The 21451-nt window shown below is 42.0% G+C and overlaps 1 protein-coding gene and 2 pseudogenes across 2 annotated transcripts in view, besides 2 other annotated features; all 3 read right to left on the bottom strand.

Moving 5' to 3' along the window:
* The window catches only part of LY96 (lymphocyte antigen 96), a 108466-nt gene that overhangs the window by 36997 nt on the left and 50018 nt on the right, over positions 1-21451 (bottom strand). The window lies entirely within an intron of this gene.
* Positions 6171-7003, bottom strand: RPS3AP32 (RPS3A pseudogene 32; annotated as a pseudogene).
* Positions 9293-9342: a silencer, noted in NCBI's record as "silent region_19298". NCBI's record gives its function as "represses an Ori minimal core promoter by ATAC-STARR-seq in GM12878 lymphoblastoid cells {active_cell/tissue: GM12878}" and the evidence as "EXISTENCE:reporter gene assay evidence [ECO:0000049][PMID:35858748]".
* On the bottom strand, positions 14077-14184 carry RNU6-1300P (RNA, U6 small nuclear 1300, pseudogene; annotated as a pseudogene).
* Positions 14275-14414: an enhancer, noted in NCBI's record as "active region_27540". NCBI's record gives its function as "activates an Ori minimal core promoter by ATAC-STARR-seq in GM12878 lymphoblastoid cells {active_cell/tissue: GM12878}" and the evidence as "EXISTENCE:reporter gene assay evidence [ECO:0000049][PMID:35858748]".

The raw sequence follows: 21451 nt of genomic DNA, 5'->3' as shown, positions 1-21451 counted from the left end.
GCCAGACTGTCCAAATTCAAATTCTAGCTTCAACACTGACTAACCATATGACTATGGCCAGTGACTAGTCATGCGACTAACTCATTTTACTCATCTGTAAACTAAGGATATTAGCAACATACCACATAGGACCACTGTGAGGATTGAATTGATACAGATTGAGTTGATACAACTAAAGATACTAAAAGACATGGAATCAACCCAAACGCCCATCAACAACAGACTGGATAAAGAAAATGTGGTACATATACACCATGGAATACTATGCAGCCATAAAAAGGAATGAGATCATGTCCTTTGCAGGGACATGGATGAAGCTGGAAGCCATTATCCTCAGCAAACTAATGCAGGAACAAAAAACCAAAGACCGCATGTTCTCACTTATAAGTGGGAGCTGAACATTGAGAACACGTGGACACAGGGAGGGGAACAACATACACTGGGGCCTGTCCGGGGTTGGGGTGCGGGGAGGGAGAGCATTAGGAAAAATAGCTAATGCATGCTGGGCTTAATACGTAGGTGAATGGGTTCATAAGTGCAGCAAACCACCATGGCACACATTTACCTGTGTAATAAACCTGCACATCCTGCACATGTACCCCAGAACTAAAAATAAAAATTAGCAGGAAAAAAAAGATACTAAAAGAGTACCTGGCCACCAGTACATCTGAGAGATGTCACCTGCTGTTACTAATTTACAAAAGAGTAAATCTGAATGTCAAATAGGATGTTCAGCCTTGCTATAAATCAGGGAAACAAATTAAAAGCAAAATGAGATACCATTTGTTACCCATAAAATTGGCAAAAAGTATCAGTTCTTAGCTTGAGTAGTGGTTACATGGGCATGCTCATTTTGCAATAATTTACCAAAAAGTACATGTCTGATTGGAGCGCTTTTTTTGTGTGTGCACTGTACTTCAATCCAAAAGTTTAAAGAATAAATAACAAAGTACATATAGGAAAATCCTCTCCCTCCCTCTACCCTTCCCCTAGGAATTGCTCTGTCAATATTAAATGTTAGCAAAGATGTAGAACATGAGAGCTTTTGTGGTTTGCTGGTGTGGTATAAATTGGGGCAACCATTTTGGAGAGCAATTTGACAATATAAGAAAAGTTGAAAATGCACAACTAAGGTTTTACCTGAATACCTGAATAACAAAACACAGACTTGTGCTGCCCATTATTCTATAACCTCTTTTTTTGAAAAAAATTCCACTTAGCACTTTTTGTGGTGAGACATTAAAAATTTACTCTCTTAGCAACTTTGAAATATACATTATAATTAACCACAGTCACCCTGCTGTGCAACAGATCTCACACACTTATTCCTGCTGTCTAACTGAAACTTTGTACCCTTTAACCATCTCCTTATTTCTTCCTCCATCCCCCGAAAATTCATTTCTGTTAAGAAACATGTTTCTCTCAGTTCTAGAGACTGAGAAGTCAAAGATCAAAGTGAACATCTGGTGTCTGGTGACAGCCCTCTTTCTGCAAAGCAGACAGTCATCTTGTTTTGTTCCAGTGTGCTGGGGAGCAGAGAGAGAGGAAACAAGCTCTACAAGTCTCTTCTTATAACGGCATTAATCCCATTCATATGAGGGCTCTGCCTTCAAGACCTAATTACCTCCCAAAGGCCCCACCTCCTAAAACCATCACATTGGAGGTTATGGTTTCAACATTTTAAAATGGGAAGGGACACAAACATTCAGTCTATAACAGCGATCAGGTGGCACAGGAGCCTAGAGAAGGGAGCAGGCCAGATCCTCAAAGGGCTTGATTTGGCATGCCAAGGAATTTGGCCTTCATCCTATAAGCAGTAGAAAAATTACATAGCATTATACCTGTGAACACAAACAGAGGTTCCATTCTCCAGGACACGAAGGTATAGAAATGCTCAACATTTTGTCATTGTTGAATAGGGATGGTATTTTTGATAGCAAATAACAAAGCTCAGAACCTGCTACGGCAAAACCGGAAAACTGGATTACCAGAAAGAGGTTTGGAAGGACCACGTGGGCCTGGAATTACCCCAAGTGTTAAATAAATAGATCAGTTTACTTCTCCTGAGGAAACATAATCTCCTAGGATACAGGAGAAAACTTGAGGGCAAGGAGTGACCAGACTACCCCTCAGCTTACTACCTGAAATGAATTTGGTTGTGAGTTCCAACATCCACCCTCTAGATTTGCACAGCAAAGAGAGGGCTATGCCTGTGCAGTACGCAAGGGTCAAGGAGGGACTCAGGTTTATTCATTTACTCCATCAGTCTTTCGACATATATTTATCGAACACCTATTATGTGCAAGAAGCTGAGACTCAAAAGTGGAGAGAAAAAACACCTCAGATTTGTTTCCTCCTCTCTAGGAGTTCACTGTCTAGGTGTTCAACAAGGAAAAATGATTTAAGAGTGAAAAGTATTGTGATATAATTACCCCGACTGAAAGTCAGGGTTCCGATAGGTAGTGAATTTTAAGCCAAGACCTGAAGGCTAAGAATGGCCTATTGCCTATCCCATTAGATTTTTTTAACTTTGCTAATTGATTTATAAAATTTTAAGAAAACATTTTCTGGATATCAATTGTTTGTTATAACTGAAAACACCTCTCAGACAGACACTTAACTTTTATCTTTGTTAATGGTATTTTTTTCTTTTGACAATAAGAGTTGGAAGTTTTTCGTTGTCGTCGTCGTCGTCGTCGTCGTTGTTGTTGTTTGAAACAAGGTCTGGCTCTCCCTCCCAGGGTAGAGTGCAGTGGCATGATCCTGGCTCACTGCAACCTCTGCCTCCTGGGCTCACCTCAGCCCCCTGGGCTCTCACCTCAGCCCCCTGAGTAGCTGGGACCACTCGTGCACACCACCACGCACAGCTAATTTTTGTATTTTTAGTAGAGACAAGGTTTCACCACGTTGCCCAGGCTGGTCTCAAATTCCTGAGCTCAAGTGCTACCACCTACCTCAGCCTCCCAAAGTGCTGGGATTACAGGCCTGAGCCACTGCGCCCAAGCAAAGTTTGAAGTTTTGGATGTAACAAAATTTATCTCTTTTTTTATTTCATACTTTTGTTGTTTGTGTCTTGTTTGCCTAATATTTTGCCCTGAGATCATAAAGCTGTTCTCCTAATAGTTTTAAGTAGATTTTCTTATAATAGTTTTGAAGTTTTGCTTTTCACATTTAGACCTGTAATCCATTTGAAATTTAACTTTTTTGGAAATTTAACTACTCAAAAATGTGAATTAGACATTTCATTTTATTTTTTTTCCATAAGGAAGGTGAATTTTGGCAATGCCATTTATTGAATTTACCCTTTTCCAACGGGTATATGGAAAGTCCCTATAAATATAATCTGTTCCCAGATCTAATTATCTATTCTGTGTCAGTAGTACAGTTTTATTTATACAACTTTTTAAAAATGTCTTTATATCTGATAGAGAAATCCCCACCTCCTGCTTCTTTTTTAGAATGTCTTGGCTAGAAGTTCTTAGAATCTGTTTGTTAAGTTCCACACAATAATGTTGGGATTTTTATTAGAACTGCATTAAATTCATAATTTAATTTATGGAGAATTCACATCTTTCTATCAAGCATTTGCTTCCATAAATATGTTAGATTTCTTCATTTCTTCAGCTGTTCTTTCGTGTCCTTTGTGATAGTTAATTTTATGTACCAATTTGCCTGGGCCACAGTATGCTCAGATATCTGATTAAACACTATTGCTGGGTGTGTCTATGAGGGTGTTTCCAGAAGAGGTTAGTACTCGAATTGGTGGACTGAGTAAAGATGATGGCCTTCCCCAATGTGGGTGGACATCATTCAATCCGTGGAAGGCCTAAATAGAACAAGAAGGTGGAGGAAGTTTGGATTATCCTCTCTCTGCTTGACTGCTTGAGCTGAAACATCAATTCCTGCCCTTGGCACTCCTGGTTCTCAGGCCTTGAACTACGTCACTGGCTTTTCCTAGGTCTCCAGCTTGCAGACAGCAAACTGTGGGACTTCTCATTCCGTATAATTGCATGAGCCAATATCTTATAATAAATCTCTTTCAGCCGGGCACAGTAGCTCATGCCTGTAATCCCAGGACTTTGGGAAGCTGAGGCGGGTGGATCTCCTGAGGTCAGGAGTTCAAGACCAGCCTGGCCAACATGATGAAACCCCATCTCTACTTAAAATACAAGAATTAGCCCAGCGTCATGGCACATGCCTTTAATCCCAGCTACTCTGGAGGCTGAGGCAGGAGAATCGCTAGAAACCAGGAGGTGGAGGTTGCAGTGAGCCGAGATTGCGCCACTGCCTTCCAGCTTGGGTGACAAAGCAAGACTCCATCCAAAAAAAAAAAAAAAGAAAAACTTTCTAGATAGATAGATAGGTGTAGATATGTAAGTATCCTTTTGCTTCTGTTTCTCTGGAGAACCCTGACTAATACATTCTCTAGTAAACTTAAATTTTTCTCCATAAAGGTTTTGCAGTGGATGATATTTTCAAAAGCTAAAGTTCATGAGTAGCAGAAAGTTTAGGTTTAAGGTAGAAATTAAAGTTATAATCCAGAAGTTTCCTCTGGATCAGCTTAATATAATTAAAACTATCATGAAGAAAATAAAATGGAAATGCATTTTAATAGACCACTCTGGAAGATAATGGGAATGTGTTCAGCATAATCTGTGTTGTAATATTTTAGTTTTTTTTTTTCACCCTTACAAGAAATCAAAAGAAAGTCTGTCCTAGTGTTTCTTGGAGCATCTATCTAATATGCTAGAGTCATAGGAGTCTCCCAGGCATATTTGTTCAAGCCTAGACCTGGAGAAGTATCCTCTTCAAACAGGACTACTAGCTGCCCTTAGGCTCACGAAGTATTGAAGGCCTAAGAAGGTAATCACGGCAGGCTGGATCCCAGAAAGTGAATGCATGCTTTCACCTCTAGCTGGAACCCTTTTCTACTCCACAGATGTTCACTGCCCTTTTCTATCCCTTCTATTCCGCATTTTTATACTGAAGCATAACTTATGCTAACACCTCATCCCCTGGATTACTTTAACAGAGAATAAAACGTAAGGTAAGGAAATTAAGCTGTTAGAGTAAAATTGCAGGTGTGAGCCTGGCTACCAAGTCGCCATTTTAGTGAGTTCAGACCACTCAAATTAAAACTGATACATATCAATGACCTAAAGGAAGCCTTAGCAGGATGAGAGAAACCTAAGTGGGAGTGTGAAGATATGCCCCAACAATCATGATTTCTGTGTGGCAGGGGACAGTGAAATTGGGCCTATTCCAGAGTTCCTCAGAAATGTGAGTCACCTACATGAGACATGGCTGTGTTTGAAGAGCCTCTGAGAGCTGTCTTAGAATAAGGGAGTCAGCATATTCTTTTTCTAAAAGTGAGAAAAGAATCAAATTTAAATGACCTTCCAGTTACCTTCTGAGGATGATCCAATACAAGTTAAGGTAACATTTATAAGAACATCATGATATTTTCTAAACTTTGTAATCCCTGTATGTTTGCCATTTGTGTTACGGTATCATAATCCCCAGAGTAATCAACAGTAAAATCCCCAAAGTTTTCAAAGCCTGCAGGCTTCTTTTGAGGCCATCAAAGGTAGGAGCACTTCCCAACATAGCCTTAGAAAATGGGAACTGATGAGGAGATACGCATGTTCAATTCCTTAGTGTTGCAAGGGGAAAGGTGCGCTACGTGAAATCACTGTCTGTGTGGAGAGTGTGATTTAATCTTCAAGAAGCTGAAACTACATCATGTGTTTTCCAAGACAGCTTTTCTGCATGCAAACTCTCTCCTTTTGATCCCTGCCATTTTTGTTAGCTAGGAGTCTGTGCTTGGGGCAAATGGAAGTGATGATGATGCTACCATATAAAGCTAATGCTTATATAATAACTTAGTTGTCTGTCGCTGCCATAACAAGTTACCACAAAACTAGCAGCTTAAAACAACACAGACTTATTACCCTGAAGTTCTGTGGGGTCAGAAATCCAGTGAGCTCAACTAGTTCCACGCTCAGGGTCTTACAAGACAAAATCAAGTTGTCCACCTGCCTGGACTCTTCTCTGGAAGGCTTAGGGGGAAAATCCACTTTCAAACTTATTCAGGCCCCTGTTTCCTCACTGACTGCCAGCCAGTGTTACCTTTAGCTCCTAGGGGACTCTCTCCAGTTCTCCTCCTCACACACAACAAGCAAGACTTTTGTCACCGTTAAAAGTCTGAATATTAAACAGGTTCTTGAACTGGTGGCTCATATCTATCTGCTCGTTCAACCTTCCCACCTGTCTCATCCCCAGTAGCTTTTCCAGAACTGCTCCCTTCACCGTGAAGCTCCCTGAGTTTTCTCGATTCAAACTTGGGCTTTTTTAGCATGTTTACTTTTCTAATGAAGACCTCATGGACAGGGTAACTAGACTGGCAAGGCTTTCTATGTCTTTCTAGTGCTGTCTAAAATCAATTTATTGATTGTCTCTTTTAAGACATCTGTCTGCACCTCTGGGATCATGATTTCCATCATCTTCTTCCGGATTTGTCAGACCTGTTGGTGCTGAGCATAAGCAAAATGCAAACCGATTGCTGGCTGAACACAAAACAAATGAAGCAAATAACCACAGGTAGCCTGAACATCAACATGAGCTTCAGTCATGAACTACCATGGAACACATTTTGTCATGGATAAGATTCATGCCATGAAAGCTGGGCAGGTGGTTTTTGTCCTGAACATTCTCAGTAATTAGTTTGAATTTTCTAAATGCAGCTTCATCATTCTCCAGCTCAGCAAGGCTTACCTCAATATCACAACCCTTGAGGCCAACAGATGCAGTTTTTGTTCCTTGTATCCCTGGGACTAGTGTTCTACCAATATTTCTTACATTGAACATAGCTGGTACTTTCACATTGTACCAGTCTTCTTAGAAAATGTTATCAACCACTTCCTTCTTGGCTTCCTTTTTGCTGCTTTTTGTAAAGCACTTATTCTTGCCAACCACCATCATGCTGCTCAGAGAGCCAAAAGGGGCCAGTCCTTGCAGATGGCCACATGGCCTCCTACATCTTAGGGCCGGCAGTGCTGACGCAAATGCTTCTCATGCCTGGAATCTGACTTCTCTTTCTGCTCCATCACTTTTGCTGCCAGCCAGCAAAAGTCTTCTGCTCTTAAGGGATCATGTGATTAGATTGTGCCACCTGGATGATCTAGGGTAATCTTCCCTGTCTTAAGACCTATGACCTTGATTATAACTGCAAAGTCCCTTTTGCTGTGTAGCATAACATATTCACAGACTCTAGGCTTAGGATGTGGGTATCTTTGAGGGACCATTCTGTCTACTATGCATAGTGTGTCTCGTGTTTGTGTCACATAATGTCCTGGGTGCTCTACATACAGCAATTGATTTAAACTTCACAAAAACCTTATGACTGGCACTTTGAATATCATAACAATCTTACAGATAGGGACCAAGGAAAAAAGCTTAAATAACTTGCCCAAGGTCATGAAATTTTTAACTAGCACTAGTGAGCTTCAAATGCAGAGGGACAGAGGGAGACCCGGTCTCAAAAAATAAATAAATAAATAAATAATTAGCATACAGGCTTTTCCATCTATGTATAAAAAGGACATAAAAATTCAGCCAGCCATAGTATCTGTGCCCTTAAGAATGATACATGATGGCCGAGTATGGTGGCTCACACTTGTAATCCCAGCACTTTGGGAGGCTAAGGCGAGAAGATTGCTTGAGCCCAGGAGTTTGAGACCAACCTGGGAAACATGGCAAAACTCTATCTCTAGACAAAGTAGAAAAATTAGCCAGGCATGGTGGTGCTGGCCTGTAGTGCCAGCTACTCAGGAGTCTGAGGTGGGAGGATCACCTGAGCCTGGGAAGGTCAAGGCTGCAGTAGGTCATGATCAGGCCACTGCACTCCAGCCTAGGCAACAGAATGAGACCCTGCATCAAAAATTTTTTATAAATAGAGTGGTGCATGATTTTTTTATAGTCCCAGGTTTAGAGACCAGCCTGGGCAATATAGAAAACAATTTTTAAAAAAATTAACTGGGCATGGCGGCACATGCCTGTGGTCCTAGCTACTCAGGAGGCTGAGGTAGGAGGATTACTTGAGCCCAGGAGGTTGAGGCTGTGGTGAGCCATGATCACGTCATTGCACTCCAGCCTAGGTGACAGAGTGAAACCCCATCTCAAATAAAAAGAAAGAAAGAAAGAAAGAAAGAAAGAAAGAAAGAAAGAAAGAAAGAAAGAAAGAAGGAAAAGGAAACAAGAAAGAAAGAAAGAAAGGAGGGAGGGGGGAGGGAGGGAAGAAAGGAAGGAAGGAAGGAAGGAAGGAAGGAAGGAAGGAAGGAAAAGAAAGAAAAGAAAAAAAAAGAAAAGAAAAGAAAATGAGGAACCTCGGTTCCAGGTGACATCACTGAGTCACTGAATTAGACCAACCCTGAAGCCTGCCCTACCACTTGCATAAGATAATAAGCCTCCTTAGTCCATTCTCTGCTACTATAACTGAGCACTACTGACTGGGTAATTTATTTAAAAAGAAGTTGGCCAAGCACGGTTGCTCATGCCTGTAATCTCAGTACTTTGGAAGGCTTAAGGTGGGAGGACTGCTTGAGCCCAGGAGTTTGAGACTAACCTGACCAATGTGGTGAGACCCCATTTCTACAAAAAATCTTGTAAATAGTTGGGCATGGTGACACACACCTGTGGCCCAGCTACTCAGGAGCCTGAGATGGGAGAATCACTTGAGCCCAGAATGTTGAGGCTGCAGAGAGCCCTGTTCACAGCACTGTACTCTAGCCTGGATGACAGAACAAGACCCTGTCTAAATAAATAAATAAATAAGAAGTTTATTTAGCTAACAATTCTGGAGAGTCCAAAGTCACAATTCTGAAGTCCAAAAGCACAGCACCAGCATCTGGTGAGGGCCTTCTTGCTGCATTATAAAATGGCGGAAGACATCACATGGCAAGAGGGAAAGTCCATGCAAGTCAAATCAGATTTCTCTTCCTCTTATAAAGCCACCAGTCTCACCATGGGGGTCTTACCCTGACATCCTTATTTAATTCTATACTCCTCCCAAAAGGCTTACCTCCAATCAAACTATGAATTCTGAGATTAAGTTTCCAACACATGAAATTTGGCAGACACATTCAAATCATAGCATTACTTAAATCCATTTGAGTTGGAGTTTGTGTTACTTACAACTGAACACATCCTAATACAGAAAGGAAAGGGTATTCATTCTAGGTAAGAAGAGCAATGAGAGTAAAGATAGAGAGTAATGAAATAGCATGACCCCTAGAGGAGCTGTGGATGATTCAGTATCTGAAGCACAGACAAGGAGGAAGGCACTGCAAGGAATGAGGCTGAAGTTGCAGGCAGAAGTCAGTATATGGAGCTAAACATGCTAGATCACACTGATTTTATTCTACAGGGAGTAGGGGAAGATGGGAATTTAGAAGGCAGGGCTTCAATGCAATGACTTGCTTCAATTTTTATTTTAGACAGGTCACTAAAGGATTAGAAATGGGTGAGAAGTGACTGAGATATGGGTTAGATCAGCAAAGAAATTGTGAAAATCTAAAAGACATTGAGAGTAGGAATTAAAAAAAGGGGACAAATATAAGAGACAGAGATTTCAGGAGGCTAAATCCACATGGCGAAGTCATGTATCAAAAGTAAGGAGTGGAGTAGAGGAGGAGTCAGGGCTCATGCCCACCTTCCTAGCTTGGGTTCCTGGCAGTCTGTGGCACCACTTGCTGAAATAGGGACTACAGATGGAGTTCCATTTTTGACATGTGGAGTTTCAGGGGCCGTGGGATGTGCAAGGGTTGCTTGGCAGGTACAATAATGTCCCACATGGTGCTGTTAAACTTTTAAAATCAATTGCCAACATTTTCTGATTAAATTTTCACATAAAAATCTAATTTACCCCTTCTTTTCAAAAATCAGAAGATCTGACAGCATTGGTTCAATATTCCCACATGGTAAATGTAAACTCTGCGTGTGTTCTTCTATTCACCACAATCATACCCCTCCTTACTATCCAGCTAGTATCCATCCTACTCTATCTGGTCCCCTTAGATCTGAATTTGTAGTCCTTCTAATGTATGCAATTGATGTGCTGGAATTAAGCATCATCCCCTGAATCAAGTTCCCATCACTCACATATACCTTACTTCCTAGGTGCATTTCTAGAAGCATGTGGAGCTCCTGCCACCAGCTTACCAACACCAAAATCTCTGGTCACCATGCCACCAACAGGCCCCAGTTCCCTTCTTCTATAGTTGGGCTTGCTGCTACAACTCTGTCCCAAAAGGAGTCTCCAGTTTCCAGGTCTCATGCCTACAATATCTGAGCCTTAATCTAGTATTTTTCTCTTCCTTTGTCTATTTTTCCTCTTCCTACTTCCAATAAAAGAAAAGTAGGTCTATATTAGATGAGGAAAAGAAGAGTCAGAAACAGACCAGCCTAGACAAGGCCAACGGGCTAAACTGGGGGAAGCTAAAGGTTACAGCCCTTCTTCCAAGTATCTGTGTGCACACAGGGTTGCCTGGCACCCTAACTGAAACTGTGACGGAGGAAGTTATGTCACACTTCTACTTTCTTTTCTTAGCCCCTGTTGTCTAGCACTCCCACCAGCCCCTGTGGGCCTCCCGCATGCACACTCATGGCACGTGGTGACATACACAGTCCCCTTCTACTGGCAAAAACCTTCCATCCACAAAAACCTCCTTCCCTTCTCCAAAATAACCTCTTCTCTCCCCAACAATATTGCCAAGTATTTTTCTTTTTCTTTTATTTTTCCTTTCTTTTTTCTTGTTTTACACCTTCAGCTGCACTAAACATCTGTAGGAATAAATTTTACTTACACAGCTGCACTAAACATGTATAGGAATAAATTTTACTCACACAGGAGTTGAACTTGAAAATTCAATAATTTGAATTAGGGAGTAAAATTGAACCCCACTGTCTTAGTATGTATGAACTGCTATAATAGGATACCATAGACTGGGCGGCTCAAGCAACAAACATTTATTTCTCCCAATTCTGGAGCTAGGAAATCCAAGATCAAGGCACCAGCAAATTCGGTGTCTGTTGAAGGCCGACTACCTCGTTCACAGACAGCCAACTTTTCACTATGTCCTCACGTGTTGGAGAGGGAAGGGCACTCTCTGAGGTCTCTTTTATTAGGCACTAATCCCATTCATAAAGGCTCCACCCTCACGACTTCATTACCTCCCCCAAGACCCCGCCACCTAATACCATACAGTGGGGATTAGGATTGCAACACAGGAATTTTGGGGAAGCCACACAAATGAATTTGGGGGTACATTCAGTCCATGGTACCTGCTAAAAATTTCAGCATCATGAGAGAGAAGCATGAATTACTAAGATAATTACTAAGAAGTATATATGGATTGGAGAACCTACCTACAGTCAAAAGCATTTCTGAGCAGTCACTGGACAATTTAAGAAGCTACTCTCAGTCTTTTATCTCATGCCCAAGTTACACCAAGAGCAAAACAAATGAATTCTCAAGCACTAATCCTTGGTTATCTGCACACCAAAGCCTGGTGTGTACTTTTTGCCTGAAAGCATGTTGTTCTCATTAGCAGTTATATCCAGATCAGGCCGGCTCATGAACACTAAGGAAACAAGCTCTTCACTTCCCTTGCTTTGAATTACTGCTTCCTCTCTTGGCTCTGAGAATTATAAATGAATCTTATACAGGAGAATGTGTCTTCTGCCCATTGGCCACATTCGTGCTTATGTTTAGAACAACCCCATCTTCTTTCCTCTATTACTAATAGTATCTTATGGGTCTTAGATAATTTTTATTTTTTTGAGACAGAGTCTCACTCTGTCGCTCAGGCTGGAGTGCGGTGGCACGATCTCAGCTCACTGCAACCTCCACCTCCTGGGTTCAAGCGATTCTCCTGCCTCAGCCTCCTGAGTAGCTGGGATTACAGGTGCGTGCCACCACGCCTGGCTAATTTTTGTATTTTTAGTAGAGACGGAATTTCACCACGTTGGTCCAGGCTGGTCTCAAACTCCTGACCTCGTGATCCACCTGCCTCGGCCTCCCAAAGTCCTGGGATTACAGGCATGAGCCCCCGTGCCCAGCTGAGTCTTAGATAACGTTTAAAAGAGCATTGCTAACAGGATTGGTGGTGGTAATTATGTTTTGGTGATGGTAATAGTGCTATAATTTCATTTAATTAGCAACAATATGAAAACAACGTTAAGAAATGTTAAAATAACAATAATAAAATTGAAAGCTCACCACTTTCACATACTATTTCCATTTTTCATATGGCTTCATTAAGAGTGTCCATATTAAATATATTATTTTATATTCTTATTATTGCAATATGATAATGATAAGCAAAACATCTGTACCTGGTGACGGATGGTGGAGTGGGCGGGTGGGTATGTGTTATGGGTGAGGTGGCCAGCATTCACACCAAGTCTTTTTTTTAAATATTTTAATTCATACTAAATTTATTTTAACTTTTTTTTTAATCGAGATAGAGTCTCGCTCTGTTACCCAGGCTGAAGTACAGTGGTGCTATCTCAGCTCACTGCAACCTCTGCCTCTCCTGTTCAAGTAATTCTCGTGCCTCAGCCTCCTGAGTAGCCGGGATTACAGGTGCCCATCACCAGGCCCACCTAATTTTTGTATTTTTAGTAGAGATGGGGTTTCACCATGTTGGCCAGGCTGGTCTCCAGCTCCTGACCTCAGGTGATCCATGTGCCTCAGCTTCCCAAAGTGCTGGCATTACAGGTGTGAACCACCATGCCCGGTCATACTTTATTTAATTGCATGTATTTATTTATTTATTTATTTAAAAAATGGAGTCCTGCTCTGTTGCCCAGGCTGGAGTTCAGTGGTGCAATTACAGCTCACTGCAGTCTCAAATTCCTGGGCTCAAGCCACCCTCCTGCCTCAGCCAGCAGAGTAGCTGGGACTACAGATGCACACCACGATGCCGGGCTCCACCAAGTCTAAATTAAACTTATTAATTGATCAATACAATATTAATCTCTATTGACAGCTACAACTCATGGATATTCCATTAATTAGCAACTTAAAATACCATCCTGCTAGATTCTAAACAGAGATTATAACATTTAACTCTTTGCTTCCCAACTCTCATGGAAGGCTGAGGTTTGAGAAACAGCACTCATGTAGAATTGCGTGAATGCCCTAATTCAAGTATCTATTTCACTCCTCAGCAAGCAAGTCCCTGGGTGTGCTGCCTAACTTGGCCTTTTTTGTTTGTTTGCTTTTTTCTTTTTGCACTTATTTCCTTTCGCCCTTATTTTTTGACTGAAATCAGCCGCATCAACCTCTTCATGTACCTCAGGTGATGTTATCAAAATTGACATGCTATTATGTCAAATCTCAAAATGAGAAGTATAAATAAAGACGTGAAAATGTGTATCACCTGAAAACTCACCAAAGAAATGTAAGCAACAATGAGATGACTATGTTTGTTTATCGGATTAGCAGTGATTTCTTTTTAATTGATAATGAATACATTGCTAGGCAATCACGAGTGGTATGGTCTGGCTGGAGTGTCAAGCATGACAGGGATAGCAAGAGGGAGGGACCTGATCCATTCACTCGTGTATTCAACAAATATTTATTAAGATCCTACTGTGTACCAGGCACAGGATAGATGGTAAGGATACAATGGTGGGCAAAAACACATACGGTTCCTGCTCTTGTGGAGATACAGTCTAGTGGGGTAGATAGCTATTAATCAATAATCACACTAATTAATCTAAGCTGGGCGTTCTGCTCCAGGGACCACTAGGTGTCCTCATATCCACTCACTCTATCTACAATAACAGAGCTCCAGGTACACAGCTACGCACAAGGCAGCCAAAATAAAGGCTACTTTTCTGAGCCTCCCTTACGGCTGAGTGTAGCCACATAACCAAGTTCATTCATTCGTTCATTTTTTTTCTTTCATTCTTTCTTTCTCCTTTTCTTTCTCCTTTTCTTTCTTTCTCCTTTTCTTCTTTCTTTCTTTCTTTCTCTCTCTCTCTTTTTTTCTTTTTCTCCTTCCTTCCTTCCTTCATATGGACCACATCACAAATTTGCATGTCACCGTTGCGCTGGGGCTGTAGCTAAGTTTCTCTGTATGGTTCCAATTTTAGCATATGTGCTACTGAAGCGAGCACGTGACCAAGTTCTGATCAGTAAAAGGTGAGTAAAAGTAATGAGTGCAATTCCTGAGTCATGCTCTTATAAGCAGCAGCTGTTTCCTCCCTTTTCTCTTCCTTCCTTCCACTGGCTGGAATGTGGATGTGGCAGAGCATTCTCCCAAAGCATGCTAGGGAGCCCAACAAGGCAGAAGGGCCCTGGGTTCCCAACATCGGAGCCTCCAGATAAGTCCTGGCCTGCTTAGGCCCACCCGGATTTAAAAAAATTACCTGGGCATGGTGGCAGATGCCTGTAATCCCAGCTACTCAGAAGGCTGAGGCAGGAAAATTGCTTGAACCTGGGAGGTGGAGGTTGCAGTGAGCCAAGATTGCACCACTGTACTCCCGCCTAGGCGACAAGAGCAAAACTCTGTCTCAAAAAAAAAAAAAAATAGAACTAAACGAAGACCACTGTGGCTTAGAGCCTAGAGTAAGAATGTATTAAAATAATGGTGGGAGCTGATGCCAGGCTTTGAGGACTTGAAGGCCATATCAGAGATGTGAGTCTTCATTCTAAAACCAGGGGGACTTGAGCCCAAGGAGTTCAAGACCAGCCTGAGCAACATAGGCAGACCCTCACCCAAAAGAAAAGTTAGCTGTGTGGCGGTGTGTACCTGTGGTCCCACACACTCAGGAGGCTGAGGTGGGAGGATTTTTTGAGCCAAGGAAGTCAAAGCTGCAGTGAGCTGTAAGCTGTGATTATGCCACTGCACTCCAGCCTGGGGAGACAGAATGAGACCCTGTCTCATTAAAAAATAAAATAAAATAAAATAAAATAAAACAGTGGGAAATGGTTAAAATATTTTAAGCAGGGTAATGATATTATCAGATTTGTGTTTCAGATACTTTGCTCTAGTTGGGATTAGGGTTAGCATTGTGGTTTGGATAATACTACAGCAGTCTAGAAAGAAATTCACAACCACCTGAGGTGGTAAGTATTATTATTAACTGTATTTTAGAGATGTGAAAACTCTGGCTCTAGGCACACAATTAGTGGCTGAGCCAGGACGCAAAGCCAGGTCAGAGAGTGTTCTACCAGCATTGCCATAACTTATTTACCAGTCCCCTGGCATTGCACTGGGGTAGCAGAATAGTTTTTCTCTTGTATCTTGTGCACAAGGATTATATTACTGGGCATGATGCTTTACACAACTTTCAAAGTAGACAGCCAACTTGATCTGCTAAGATATTCTTCCTCCTGTACCCTGATTCTGGTGAAGAAATGCTCCTGAACCCTCTGCCTCCACGTCTACCCATAAGTTGTGGGGACAGAAGCACAGTGAGAGAAACAGACTCCACCACACCTTCTTGGCTGTGCAAGGAAGTCAGATGATGTTGGAGTCTGTGCTACTGTGCCAGAAAGCATATTAAGGAAGAAATAGTCCCTCTAGTGCAGAAAACGGGCTCTTTCACAAATTCAGGACCAAATCTTTTTATGTAGAAAATCCATGTAGAATGAGTGGGTCAGGGCCGGGCGCTGTGGCTCACGCCTGTAATCCCAGCACTTTGGGAGGCTGAGGTGGGCAGATCACTTGAGACCAGCCTGGCCAACATGGTGAAACCCCGTCTCAACTAAAAATACAAAAATTACCTGGGTGTGGTGGCGTGTGCCTGTAATCCCAGCTACTCAGGAGGCTGAGGCAGGATAATGGCTTGAACCCAGGAAATGGAGGTTGCAATGAGCCAAGATCATGCATCTGCACTCCAGCCTAGGCGACGGAGCGAGACTCAGTCTCAAAAAAAAAAAAAAAAGAATGAGAATGAGAATGGATGGGTCAGGAAAAATGTTCACCTCCCCCAAAAAGCCATAAAAGATAAGTTCTAATTTAGAAAAACATTCATGTAGGAAAAAGAAGGGGGATTGCTGGAAGAGAAGGTGAAGGATTATGAGGATAAATTCATAGTTTACCCTTCACAATTAGCAGAGGGTGCATTATTTAAGCATAGCCTTTGTTTCTTAGTATAGCCTTCTCAGTCTTTGTTATTGATCATATGCCACCAAAAAACAAGTTCAGGATGGCTTTCTGCTTATTGTTAATATCAGAAAATATTCATATATCCTGTCCGGGGTTTTTTTGCGTGGGGGGTGGGCATATTTATATTCTGTTTTGAAAAAACACAGAAGAGTACCTTTTGGTATGCAGAATTTTCTTCTTAAACTTACACTGCCTTACTAACTTGAAAAATGTGTTCCTAATAAATAGCAAGATTTTTGGTGAGTGTGCTGTTAAGGTTTTGCTATCCACATTCAGTAACCATTAAATTACCAGTTCCAAGAGTTGTCAAATGTTGACTGCGAAGTTGTTGCAAAGGTCTTTGTGAACACTTGACTGTCAGATTCTTGGTCACTTAGTTATTCTGGGTGTCTTATTTTTTTGAGAAGGAGTCTCACTCTGTCACCCAGGCCTGAGTGCAGTGGCACAATCTCAGTTCACTGCAACCTCTGCCTCCCGGGTTTAAGTGATTCTTGTGCCTCAGCCTCCCAAGTAGCTGGGACTACAGGTGCACGCCACCATACCCAGCTAATTTTTGTATTTTTAGTAGAGATGGGGTTTCACTGTGTTATCCAGCCTTGTCTCGAACTCCTGACCTCAGGTGATCCACCCGCCTTGACCTCTGAAAGTGCTGGGATTTCAGGCACGAGCCACCGTGCCCAGCCTAGTTCTGGACATCTTCCATTCATCCCTCCAGATGCTCTCTACCCTTCTCCACTGTCCTCTGTGCTCTGGGAAGCTGACCACTATAGACTAGGTCAGCTGGCTCTCTTGTCTTCTGGTTACAGTGGGTCCAGCAATGGGGAGCCCAGCAGGAGATCTGAGGGTGTAGCAGTGCGATCCCTCCCTGTAGGGTTACTTCCAGCTGGTCTAGTTACATAAAGGAGGTAGGGGGGCGGTCTTCGCTTTTTGCTTCCGTCAGACAGGCCCCTCTGTCTCCTGGTTCCCCCACCCTTGACCCTTTAGACTTAGAGCAATAATGGGGCCCCACTGCTACTAGCCCTGGGGGACTGCACTATTCATGGTTTCCTACACCTGGTCCACACCTCTGTAAACATTCCCTTTATTAAACTCTCCTTAAGTAATCCCAGTTTAAATGTGTCTTCTGTTTTCTTCAAGGACTCTGACTGACACAGTAATAATACCTTACAGCTAAAAGCTTTTACAGTGTCTCATTAATGTATTCAGACTTGGATAACATATTTTGGATTTTTTAAACAGTAGACCTAGAACCTTAAAATGTGTCAGGGTTTGATTCCTAAATCTGTCTGCTGTTAAGTAGAACTGAACAGTGCCTTTGTTTTTGTCACTGGCATTTATTGTAGCCTTCGTGTTTTTATTTTCATCTGTTGTTCCCTGTATGGTTTTTATATTTATGTCATGTTAAGGCATGAAACAGCTTTTTCCCATTGATTATTGCTTGGTTCATTTTTTATCCTCTCTAATGCCCAGACTGACAAGCCTGTGAATGCCCTGAAGACAGGGACCAAGTGTTCTTCTGTTTGTATCCTCTGCATGAAGCACAGGACAGACATTTTGAATGAATGGAGAATATTATCTATTCTGGATTTCAGTTATTAGGGAGCAAAGATTATCAGACAGTGCTCTGCCCACCTGGGCACTACCCAGTCATGCTCTGAAGCCCCAGCAATGGCTGACAGGAATTTTATACATTCTCACAGCTTAACCACAGAGGTTGTATAATGTGAGTCAAAAATCAGAGATGAACCCAAACCTACTTTCCATTTCGAAGTAAAGTTTCTTTCATAGAGAATAAGGGATTCATGGGAATGTAAAAGAAATCCTTCAACTTGACAACCCACTGACAAGACAGCTGAAATGTATGAGACAGAAACCATTTTTCTTCTTTGCATTGAAAGTAGGTTAATGTGGTTAATTCATGAATGTTTAAATGGGATAATTTGCTCAGAGAAAAAAAATTGTTCATCTTTGAATTTTTGAAGGAGAAAAGAATGAAAAGGTAATGTGAGTCTGTGAGCCCCTCAGCTTCCAAAGGTCCCTCACCACCGTCTCCATTTGCTTTGCCCTCTTCCCATGCTCTGATCAGCTCCAATTTTTTTTTTTACCCTGCCAACATCTTGATTTTGTCTAATTTTTGACTCACATTTTACAGCCCCTCTGGCTAAGCTGTAAGAACATATTACATACATTGGGATGGGTACAGTGGCTCACAGCTATAATCCCAGCTTTAAGAGGCCAAGGCAGAAGGATTGCCTGAGCTCAGGAATTTGAGACCAGCCTGGGAAACTTATTAAGACCCCATTTCTACAAAATAAATTTTTTTTTAATTAGCTGTGCATGGTGGTGCATGCCTGTAGTCTCACTCAGCTACTGAGGAGGCTGAGGCAGAAGAATCGCTTGAGCCTAGGAGTTGGAGGTTACAGTGAGATATAATTGTGCCACTGCACTCCAGACTGGGCAACAGTGAGACCCTAAAAAAAAAAAGAAAAAGAAAATTTTTTTTATGTACAAAAAAAAAAATAACATACATGTTTCCACCTTGCTTACTAAGTGTTGTTTACCTTTCTCATGTTTGCTCTGGCACTGGCCATTGCTTTAAACTTTACAACGCTGGTCTGGCTTGGTGGCTTATGCTTGTAATCCCAACACTTTAAGGCTGAGGCAGGAGGTTCCCTTTAGCCCATGAATTTGAGATCAGCCTGGGCAACCTCCCAACTACTTGGAGGGCTAAGACGGGAAGATCGCTTGAGCCTGTGAGGTCGAGGCTGCAGTGAGCCATGGTGGCACCATCTCATTTCAGCCTGGGTAACAGCCAGACCATGTCTCAAAGATAAAAATAAAACAATATTAGAATGCTAAAACTTTCATTTTTAATTTTAGAGGCCTAAGTATCCTCCTTTAATTAATTAGGCATTCATCAACTTTTATCATCTCAATTAAATGATGAAAGAGTTAATTTATATCATTAATTTTTTAAGTTAATTTATATTAAGATCTTCATAGTATTGTTTATATTTTCAACCAGTGTATGTAATCCACGTATCCAACAATAAGTAGATATGCCAACTGAAGCAGATAAGGCCAATTAAAAAATGACAAATACACATGTGTCAACCTCCTTGGCAACTAATATGAGCAAATTCCAGTCAACCTCAACCTGCAAAAAGACCACTGGCAATGGCAGTGCCCCCACCACTGCTGCATGGTCTATCCCAACTGCAGTCCCTGGCTGAGTATTCCAGTTCATTGCTTTTGGGTCTAAGCTCGCATCTTACCTCTCAAAAGCCCTGAATAAAGCCCTACAGAATTCTGACAGCAAGAACACAATCTTCACACATCTGTGACACACAGGACTTCAGAATTAGTCCCAATTGACAACCTCTTCATTCACTGAGAATCACTTCAGCTAGCATATCTCACTGGCCCACACCTCCCTACCCCTGTTCCTGTATTGCCCTGTAGACTTATTTTGAGTTACTGATCCTAATCATTCAATATTTACTGGCACCTCTATGTGCCAGACATTAAGCGTTGGTGAATGACAGGGATGTGGTTGCTGTATCAACCCTCCTGTGGGCCTTTTCTTCTTCAAAAGGTAACAAACCGGCCAGGTATGGTGGCTCATGCCTGTAATCCCAGCACTTTGGGAGGCTGAAGTGGGTGGATCATGAGGTCAAGAGATTGAGACCATCCTGGCCAACATGGGGAACCCCGTCTCTACTAAAAATACAAAAAATTAGCAGGGTGTGGTGGCACATGCCTGTAGTCCCAGCTACTCGGGAGGCTGAGGCAGGAGAATCTCTTGAACACGGGAAGTGGAGGTTGCAGTGAGATGAGCTCACGCCACTGCACTCCAGCCTGGCAAGAGAGCAAGACTCTGTCTCGAAAAAAAAAAAAAGGTAACAAAACAAAAGTTCTCCAGATCCTAAAGCCTAAATCTTAACAAACTTTTAAGGACTACTAAAGACTAGAACCTAGACCTCTGTACAAACAGGTTTTGTTTGGTTTGTCTGAAATTAAGAAACTGCCTCTACAAGATTCCAGCACTCATTCATTCCTAACATAACCTCTTACCTCAGTGCTATGCTCGTGTTGGAAGAGTTATGCTCTTGTGTAAAAAAGCAGAATTTTGAGTGAGTCCAATCCCAAATTTTTTTTTTTGAGATGGAGTTTCGCTTTTGTCACCCAGGCTGGAGTGAACGATCTCGGTTGCTCACTGCAACCTCCACCTCCTGGGTTCAAGCAATTCTCCTGCCTCAGCCTCCCAAGTAGCTGAGACTACAGGCACCTGCCACCATGTCTGACTAATTTTTTGTATTTTTAGAGAGATGGGGTTTCACCATGTTGGCCAGGCCAGTCTTGAACTCCTGACCTCAGGAGATCCACCTGCGTCAGCCACCCAAAGTGCTGGGATTACAGGCGTGAGCCTCTGTGCCCAGCCCCAGTCTCAAATTCTGTTAGTTTGACTAGAAAGGTACACAGTAATGCATGCATGCCTTTGTTATTTTTAATTAACTTAAAAATGTTTATTTTTAGCTAATTTATGGTGGAACCTGCCCCCAATATTTCAGTGTAGGTTCTTTCTATTTTCCGTAAGTGTCAGCTGGCTGAGAAATAAAGAGAAAGAGAATAAAGAGAGGAATTTTACAGCTGGGCCTACAGGGGTGACATCACATATCAGGAGGACCATGATGCCCACCTGAGCTGCAAAACCAGCAAGTTTTATTAAGGATTTCAAAAGGGGAGGGGGTGCAAGAACAGGGAGTAGGTCACAAGATCACATGCTTCAAAGGGCAAAAAGAACAAAGATCACATGCTTCTGAGGAAACAGGACAAAAGGCAAAACAGAACTACTGATAAGGGTCTATGTTCAGCTGTGTATGTATTGTCTTGATAAACATCTTAAACAACAGAAAACAGGGTTCAAGAGCAGAGAACCGGTCTGACCTCAAATTTACTAGTGGTGGGGGGGGTTTCCCCACCCTAATAAGCCTGAGGATACTGCAGGAGATCAGTGTGTATTTCAGTCCTCATCTCAACCGCATAAGACAGACACTCCCAGAGCGGCCGTTTATAGACTTCCCCCAAGGAATGCATTCCTTTCCCATGGTCTTAATTATTAATATTCCTTGCTAGGAAAATAATTTAGTGATATCTTCCCTACTTGCACGTCCACTTATAGGCTCTCTCCAAGAAGAAAAATATGGCTCTATTCTGCCCAACCCCACAGGCAGTCAGACCTTATGGTTGTCTTCCCTTGTTCTCTGAAA

The sequence above is a fragment of the Homo sapiens genome, chromosome 8 (assembly GCF_000001405.40).
Source record: "Homo sapiens chromosome 8, GRCh38.p14 Primary Assembly".
Classification (NCBI taxonomy): domain Eukaryota; kingdom Metazoa; phylum Chordata; class Mammalia; order Primates; family Hominidae; genus Homo; species Homo sapiens.
This window is presented reverse-complemented; position numbering and strand designations above follow the sequence as displayed.